General features: G+C 51.4%; 1 annotated feature.

Annotated features, from left to right (window-relative positions):
* Window positions 4,065–4,642: an enhancer, noted in NCBI's record as "H3K4me1 hESC enhancer chr17:42675147-42675724 (GRCh37/hg19 assembly coordinates)". NCBI's record gives its function as "activates a minimal SCP1, AML or CMV promoter by ChIP-STARR-seq in naive H9 embryonic stem cells {active_cell/tissue: H9 hESC(naive)}" and the evidence as "EXISTENCE:reporter gene assay evidence [ECO:0000049][PMID:30033119]".

The raw sequence follows: 9,227 nt of genomic DNA, 5'->3' as shown, positions 1-9,227 counted from the left end.
ACAAAGCTGAGGGAAGAGGGTCTCCAGGAGGGTCGATGGAGTGGGGTCAAAGGGGCATCATTTGACGGCCTTGCTCTGTGACCCCCGCCACCCGTCTCAGCCACCTTCTCTCTTTCCCCACCCCCTGCGCCCTCCCCCTCTGCCCCAGGAGCTGGGCTAGTTTATTTTCCTTGGGCAGGCTTCCTGAAAGGGGAGCCTGGTTTTCCTGACACATGAAAAGTGTCTCAGACTGCCGTCTGACCCTTCCTGCAGAGCCCTAGCTCCAGGGAGTTTGTTTGACAAGCAGTCACACACGTGGACACATGCAGACATCCTGGCACATGGCACACACATGCACCCGGAGACCCCAGGGTGAGTCTGGGAGTTGTGCGGCCACAAGCATGTACGCACACATGCACCCCCACATGTAGAAATAAAATGTAAGGCACATACACCCCACATGTACTCCCCACATGGGTGCCGGGTGCCTGCGCTTGCAGGCTCAATGCGAACTGGCTCATTCACACGTAACACGTTATTCCCAACATCCACGTGTTCCCGTTTCCCCTCTTCACTGTACCGCTGGCGGCGAGAGGAGTTAGAGTGATGTACACAGGTTGTGTGTGGGCCATGTAAGTGGCTGGTGTGGCCCAAGGCCAGCTGCGGCTTCTCCTTGAGTCAGAGGAGGAGCCCTGGGCCAGAGCCACCACCCACTGCGATGTCAGGGATCCTCCCCTGCTTGTGGGTGGGAGGTGGGATGTCTGTGTCCCCCGCGCCCCCTGACTTCAGGCTCTTGGAGTCAAGTATACCATCGCCTTTGTCGCTGTGCTTCCATTGAGGGCTCCTGGGACTGGCATTCTCCCCTGCAGGTGCTTCCTCTGCCCAACCCCGCTCTCCAGGGGCAAGCCTATGCCACAGGGCCCACGGCCCCTGCCTTCTGAGACAGACCTTGGCAGAGAGCGCCCAGAGACGGGGATGGGACTGTGGCAACAATTATAATCTCAGCACCTACCAAGGCTGGTTGCCAGGTATTTCATGAACAATGTCTTATTTATTTATTTTTGAGACAAAGTCTTGCTCTGTCACCCACGTTGGAGTGCAGTGGCGTGATCTCAGCTCGCTGCAACTGCTGCCTCCTGGGCTCAAGTGATTCTCCCACTTCGGCCTCCCAAGTAGCTGGGACTACAGGCGTGCACCACCATGCCCAGCTAACTTTTGTATTTTTGGTAGAGATGGGGTATTGCTATGTTGCCCAGGGTGGTCTCAAACTCCTGGCCTCAAGTGATCTGCCCGCCTTGGCCTCCCAAAGTGCTGGGATTATAGGTGTGAACCACCACGCCCGGCCAATATCATTTATTTTATTTTAGACAGGGTCTTGCTCTGTCACTCAGGCTGGAGTGCAGTGGTACGATCATGGCTCTTTGTAGCCTCGACCTCCCAGGCTCAAGTGATCCTCCCATCTCAGCCTCCCACATTGCTGGGACTATAGGCATGCACCACCATGCCCGGTTAATTTGTAAATGTTTTGTAGAGAGGAGGTCTCCCTGTGTTGCTCAGGCTGGTCTTGAACCCCTGGGTTCAAGTGATCCTCCCGTCTTGGCCTCCCAAAGTGCTGGGATTACAAGTGTGAGACACCACACCCATCTTATTTAATACTTCTAACAACTCTGTGGAGGGCTGTACATCCTTCCTTTAGGGATGGGGAAACTGAGGCTTGGGGGAGGAGAGGTAAAGAAACTTGCCCCATTCACAGAGCTGATGAGGCCAAGAGCTGGGATCTGGTCCCGGGTCTGTCTGCCATCCAAGTCCATGGTCTTGATCAGTGTGCCATACTCGCCTCGCTGTGTCTTCAGCTGTAAACTCTCACAAGCTTTCCAGGAAGGAGCTGAGATTATTTTTGTAAAATGGCCTAGCACAATGCCTAGCACATAGGGAGCATTTGACAATTTGGTTTTCTCTCTCCTCTGGGTTCCTATGTGGAGGAAAGCGGGGTGTGCAACACTCCCCCGGGCCAGTGGATGGGGCATCAGCAGCAAGGAGGGAGGTGGGCAGGGTGGGCAGAGAGGCAGTCATAGAAACCAAGCCCCTCCAGCCTCTGGGAAGCCAGAGAAGCCAGCGATCATCACCCTGCGCCCCCAACACTCACCACATTCACCCACCCGATCTTGGGCTTAAGAGGCCCAGGAACATCCCCAACCACCGCATGTCCCCCCTTCTCTGTGACACTCCCAGGTAAAGGAGCCATTCCCAGACTCCCAGACAGAAGGAGGAGAGGAAAGGGCTGGGGGAGGAAGGGGGAGGGGCTGTCACACACTGAAGGCTTTGTGGGATTCCCAAGCGTCTAGGTGGAAACACTTCATATATCAAGTGTGTTTGTCCCTCCCTGGGGAAAGTGGGGGCAGGAGAGGGGAGGAGAGGCTGGGCCATTGGCAAGTGCGAGGGCCTGAAATAGGGAACACCAGTGTGTAACCCGAGAGGATGGGGAGAGGGCTGCCGAGAACCTTCCTTGATGAACTGACCTGGTCTGGGCTTCTGGGAGCCTTTGATTCTCCAGGCCTCTGTTGACTGAGCAGAAACATGCCCCCCACACCCCTCACTCCTTCCAGAGCCCTGGGCTCTTCCTGCAGGGGTCTACCACTCCCTTCCCTGCTTCCACTCCTGCTCACTCCCAGGCCTGCCCCTTGGTCCTCCCTGAGCCAGCTCTGCCCTCCCCCTCCATCCCTCACCATAATCCTGCCTCTCCTCCCCCTCCCTCCTGCCTTCTAAACCCTGCTCTGTTGAGTCACTGAGACCCCTGACCTCCATATCACCCGTTCCAAGATCCTAGCCCAGTCTCCTCTAAGTCTTGGCAGGTTCCCTGTCTCCACTCTCGCCAGCCCCTACTCATGCCCTGACTCAGCCTCCAGCCAGCGTGCTGTGCTGAGAGCGGCTGTCCTAGTAACCCTTGTAATGAATATGACTGCAATGGTGATTTTGGAAAAGTCAGCATTATTCATTTACATATTCAAGAATTTCTCACTGAGGGCCTACTAAGTGCTAGAGACTCCACTAGATGCTGAAGCCCTCACGGAGCTCTCAGTTACTGTAATACCACACTGAGGCTCCAGGCAAGACAGGTCCCTGTTCTGCAGCCTGTTCTGGGAGCTTCTGGTTGCTCCCAGCCCCACAGAGCAAAGATTCCCTGGGATATGCATGCCCAGAGCCTGCAGAGCCCACTTCGCCCTCCCTTCTACACATGCTCTGGGTTCCTGGCCCAGAGCTGTGTAAGATCTTATTGGAACCTGAGGCAAAAATAAATAAATAAATAAATAAATAAATAAATAAATAAAATCAGTAATACTGATCCTGTCTTTAAAAATTTGATATTTTGTTTATTATGGATTTTTACATTAATTTTGATTTTTAAAATATTGCATTAAAGTATCATCTCTATCTGCTGGGTGCAGTGGCTCACCCCTATAATCCCAGCACTTTGGGAGGCTAAGGCGGGAAGATTGCTTGAGGCTAGGAGTTTGAGATTAGCTTGGGCAACATGGTGAAACCCCATCTCTACCCCAACAACCAGAGAAATTAGCCAGGTGTGGCAGCATATGTCTGTAGTCCCACCTATGTAGGGGGCTGAGGTGGGAGGATTGCTTGATCCTAGGAGATAGAGGCTGCAGTGAACTGAGATTGCGCCACTGCACTCCAGCCTGGGTGACAAAGTGAGACCCTGTCTCAAAAAAAAAAAAAAAAATCACCTATGTTTATTACTGAGTTTTGTTGTATGTGTGTACCTTCATTTTTGCACCTGGGTGAGGGCCTCAATGGACTCACTCCAGTCCTGGCCGTCTCCTGGTCCCCAGAATTCCCCATCCAAGTGACCTCAGCCTATTTCCAAGGCCTGAGGAAGCCTTTGCCCTGTCCATCCTCCTGAGGGCCGACCAAGCTGCAAGTGCGCATGCCCTTGGGCTGAGGGGTGGTCTAGGGATGGCTGTCGTACAGGGGTGGGAGGAGTTTGCCCACAGGGCTGACTGAAGTGTCCCCTCAGGGGCACAGCAGAGGAAAGTGGGGGTAGGCCAGAGGGTGGAGGCAGCACCGCCATGTTCCAGTGCACAACTCCAGTCATTATGAAAGGATATTTGTCAAGGTAAGAGGATAGGATACATTTTTATTTAAGTTTGTTTGCTTGATTTATATGTTTTAAATATTTAGAAATTTTGTTTGAGGCCTCTTATGTGTACTTTTGCCCCAAGTCCTCAAATGTGAAAGGTGGGCCCATTTACAGGGTTGGGGAGTCGGGGGACAGAAGTTGTCAGGATGGAGTGAGCCAATCTGATGGGCTCACTGCCGTGTGCACCGTGAACCTCTGCTCCTGCTCTTCCCACACTGCCAATCCAGCCCAGCCTTTATGTCCCCTTCTTCTGTGCAGTCATCAGTGGTCCCTGCTGGCCTTGGTGGCCTTCTTCCTCCAAGCCTGTGACATTTACTGCCAGTCCCACTCCCGGAGCCATCACCCACACTGCTTGGTAACAGCCCCCCAAAAGCAATGTCATGCTGTTATTTAACTATTAGCGTGTGTGCGCCATGTCCGGGCTGCTGGGTGATCCGTGTTTTGACAGCACTGACTATGTATTCTTTTATTCTTCATGTTCCCTACAGTGTCAAGCCTGGAAAAGAATGGGTTTGAAGTTAGCCTGAGACCTAAGGTTGCTGCTGGCCTTGCCTCCTATTAGCTGTGTGATTGAGCAAGTTAACCTCTCTGAGTCTGACTTCTCATATATAAAATGGGATAATACACTCCAGCCTAGGTGACAGAGTGAGACCCTGTCTCAAAAAATGAAATGAAATGAAATAAAACTAAATAAAATGGGACAATAAGCCCTGCTTGGCAGGGTGTTGTGAACAAAAGAGGTAACGTATAGAAAAGGTCTGACAAAGTAGGAAGTCAATAAAATGTTAACCATAATTGTATTATAACTCATAATGTATTAATATATAGCTTACATGTATTATGTGCCATATATGTATATACATATATATATATTTCAATTTGAAAGCAGTAATTGTTTATTAACTGACTGAATTACAAAAATGATGGTGGTGGACCCCTTCCCAGTTCATCCTTCTAATGAGCCTGTTAATCTGGTCTTCCCTGTTACTAGTATCTCTACTTTCTACAAAATGAGTGGTCGTCTTCTTCATTCCACCTCGTTGGGAAGATAATTTGAATAGCCCTGGGAAGTTATTTGCTTCTTTGAAGTGTTTTTGTTTTTTAACAATACAGATCTCATGAATCAGATCCTTCATGCAGGTGACGCCACATTAACAAAGAGATCAAGCAGTAAAGTGTTATCTGTCACGGAAATTTGCTGCTGCTGCTTCATTTTTTTTTTTTTTTTTTTGAGATGGAGTCTCACTCTGTTACTCAGGCTGGAGTGCAGTGGCGCGATCTCAAGTGATTCTCAAGTTCAAGTGATTCTCCTGCCTCAGCCTCCTGAGTAGCTGGGATTACAGGCACGCACCACCACACCCGTCTAATTTTTTAATTTTTAGTAGAGATGGGGGTTTCACAATGTTGGCGAGGCTGGTCTTGAACTCCTGACCTTAGGTGATCCGCCCACCTTGGCCTCCCAAAGTGCTGGGATTACAGGCCTCAGCCACTGTACCTGGCCCTTCCTTGCCTTTTGGATTTTTTTTTTTTTTTTTTTTTTTGCAACGGAGGCTTGCTCTGTTGCCCAGGCTGGAATGCAGGGGTGTGATCTTAGCTTACTGTAACGTCCACCTCCTGGGATCAAACCATTCTCCTGCCTCAGCCTCCTGAGTAGCTGTGATTACAGGCACGTGCCACCACACCCAGCTAATTTTTGTATTTTTACTAGAGACAGGGTTTCACCATGTTGGCCAGGCTGGTCTTGAACTCTCAACCTCGTGATCTGCCTGCCTTGGCCTCCCAAAGTACTGGGATTACAGGCATGAGCCACTGTGCAAGGCCCTCTCCTTGCCTTTTGAAGTGTCTTCTGGGCAAATATTTTTCTCAGGCACTTGATCTTCACCTCTGAGAAATTCCTTTTCTCAACGATTTCTGGCACAGCCAGAACCTTCCTTTTCTTCTCTTTGACATTCTCCATGGTTCCAGGTGGGAAAGAGTCTATCATATTATTTATTTATTTTTTAAAATTCGATTTGGCAGGTGAGTTGTCACACATTCCTTAGTGGAATTTTATTATTAATATGTCAGTTTTAATTATATATTACTAGAGGCATTATATAAATTAAATGATTGAATGGGACAGGCAGGAGTGGAAGGGGAGGTGAGGAACTTAAGGGAGTGGAAATGGGTCCCTTCCAACTTAAGGCTCTTCTAAGAGAGAATGAGGGGCCAGGCGCGGTGGCTCACGCCTGTAATCCCAACACTTTGGGAGGCTGAGGTGGGCGGATCACCTGAGCTCAGGAGTTCGAGACCAGCCTGACCAACATGGAAAAACCCCATCTCTACTAAAAATACAAAATTAGCCGGCCGTGGTGGCACATGCCTGTAATCCCAGCTACTCGGGAGGCTGAGGCAGGAGAATCGCTTGAACCCAGGAGGCGGAGGGTGCAGTGAGCCGAGATCCCACTATTGCACTCCAGCCTGGGCAACAAGAGTGAAACTCTGTCTCAGAAAAAAAAGAGAGAATGAGGAAGCCTCGAACGGACCCTTGGAATACACAGTTCCTCCCTGGGCATTTGGCACAGGAGTGAGCAGTACGGGGCTCAGAATTAATCCCTCCATGTAGCTAAAGCATCCTGACCCTGGGCACTTCATTTAACCACCCGAGCTGCACACTTGGCACAACCCTGTCCCTGTCCTGCTGGCAGAGGCAGCTGTGCACCAGGCACCACCTCCCTCTGCTGAGGTATTGGCCGGTCTCCCCAAGTGGTTGCCCAGCCCCAACACACCTCAGAGTCTTGCCCAGGAGAAACCACAGGAACTGCGGGATCCAACAGGAGACGACTGGATCCCAGCTCCCAGGACCACCCACCCTGACCTCCTCCCCTATGATTATTACAAACATACTTCCAAGGGATTAGCAACCGTGCCAGGGATGTTGATCGCTAACCCTCAGTCCAACCAATGGTTTTAATCACCAGCTGCAGCCATAGTAACATTACTAACTAATAAGCAGTCTGCTAAGGTGGGGTGGGCATAGAGTGAGGAATTGGGCTGCAGAGGGAGGCACCTGCTGTACAACCGAGCCAAGGGGCCACCCTGGGAGAGGGTGGCTCAAAACTGCATTCCGCCTAATCAGGAGGTCAGCTCCTTAGGGCATTAAAGATACTGGTTTGAAGACGGGGAGCCTATGTTCAGGGATTCTGAACTCCCACGTCTTGCAGGGGGCCCCCAGTTAGGCTCCCCCATGGGAGAGTCCACACAACAGGACGCTCAACCTTGTCTGGCCAGGTTCCTAGATGGGAGCTCCCTGTAAATGCTGACCTCTTGGGTCTCAGTGTGTGCAAAAGTGTGGGAGGCTCAGGCTCGGAGCCTTTCTCATTGTCCCATGGCAGGGACGATAGCTGAGTCTACTCCTTGTCTTAACTCCATCTCTCCCAGCTGGGCTCTCATTTTTAACAAGCAACTCTAAAGTATTATCCAATGGGGGAGGTTAAAAGGTGGCCACTGGGCCCGGCGCGGTGCCTCACGCCTGTAATCCCAGCACTTTGGGAGGCTGAGGTGGGCAGATTGCCTGAGGTTGGGAGTTTGAGACCAGCCTGGCCAGCATGGTGAAACCCTGTCTCTACTAAAAATACAAAAATTAGCCAGACGTGGTGGCAGTTGCCTGTAATCCCAGTTACTCGGGAAGCTGAGGCAGGAGAATCACTTGAACCCAGAAGGTGGAGGTTGCAGTGAGCTGAGATCGCGCCATTGTACTCCAGCCTGGGCAACAGAGAGAGACTTTGTCTCAAAAAAAAAAAAAAAAGGTGGCCACTGGTACACCAGGAGTTCCCTTTGTCTGGGGACATTGACAAAGCAAGGGGGCAAGAAGGGCATAGCCCAGGAAGATGATAGGAGTAAAAATCAGAGGCAGATGAGGTGGTAGGGGGAGGGTAGAAAGGTTGAGGGGAGTCCGGAGACCCCCTCTGACTCCTAGGAACGTTCGGGAAAGTGAACGTCAGTCCAGAAGGAGTCTGTCCCTGTAGATCATGGTTGTAAGCTTTTTGTAAGCCAGGTTGTAACCTGGCCCTGTTACACATACACATCCTCATCCCTTCCTCGCTCTCTCTCCCTCCTTCTTTCCCTGTGTCTCTTTCCTTCATTCGTTCTTGTTCTAGACAATGGCTGAGACCTAGAGTTGGCTTCTTCATCTACCGGTTTTTCCTGGGGAGACTCCTAGGAGCTCTACCTCCACCCAAACCATGAGCCGCACCTCCTCACTGTCAGCCCCATCTGCCTCAACTTGAACAGAGCATCCCCTCTTCTCTGTGTGTTCCCCTGTGCTAGGCACTGAGGAACAAGTTGCAGGAAGGAAGGGACCTGCTGGAACCTGCAAACTCAGAGGCAAAAAGGTGCAGATTCCAGAGCCAAATGGAAATTCCAATAGCCCAAGTAGGCATCCAGCTAATCAGAGTGAAAGAAGAGGAAGAAAAGGCCCTTCTGAAGGAGGGGCATGCAGGTGAAGGAGCTGGGACCTGGCCCAGGCATAGAGGGCTAAGCTGATGCTGGAGATGGAGAGCTGTTTGCTTGGAGTGAGCTCATAGGTTCTAAGATGAGGGCTGGGATGGGAGGGCAGGGGGTGGCATGGCCTTGACCCCTGGGAGCCCAGACTAAAATGTCTGGCATACAATTGAAGGGAATAGAAGCTCCTCTCTGGGGCCTTGGGCAGGGAAGAAGGCAGCCTCCCTTTCTGTGCACCTATGCCCCAGGTAGAGGCAGGCATGGGGGAGATAGTATCCTGGGGGCAGTTGTCATGGAAATTGTCCCTCTACCCGCCTAACCTGGTGTCTCTGAAACCCAAGGGCCTCCAAAGCCCCTCCTGCCCCACCCCATGCAGCCAGTGACAACAGAACCATCTCTGAAATAAACACCATATAAGAACAGCAATCCCCAGAAACTCCAAAGGGGCTTTGATGTTGGGGCCAAGGATTTCGACTAAACAAGCTGGAAGCGATTTAGGCCAGGAAGGCTGCAGCGGTGCTGTAGCAGCTGCCCTGGGGAACTGAGTCAGATCGCCAGAAGCAGGGAGGGTCGCTACCCCCACCCTACCCTCCCCAACCCACCACTCTGGGCT

Source organism: Homo sapiens, chromosome 17 (assembly GCF_000001405.40).
Source record: "Homo sapiens chromosome 17, GRCh38.p14 Primary Assembly".
NCBI lineage: Eukaryota > Metazoa > Chordata > Mammalia > Primates > Hominidae > Homo > Homo sapiens.
Note: the sequence above shows the minus strand (reverse complement) of the source record. Positions and strands in the feature narration are given on the sequence as shown.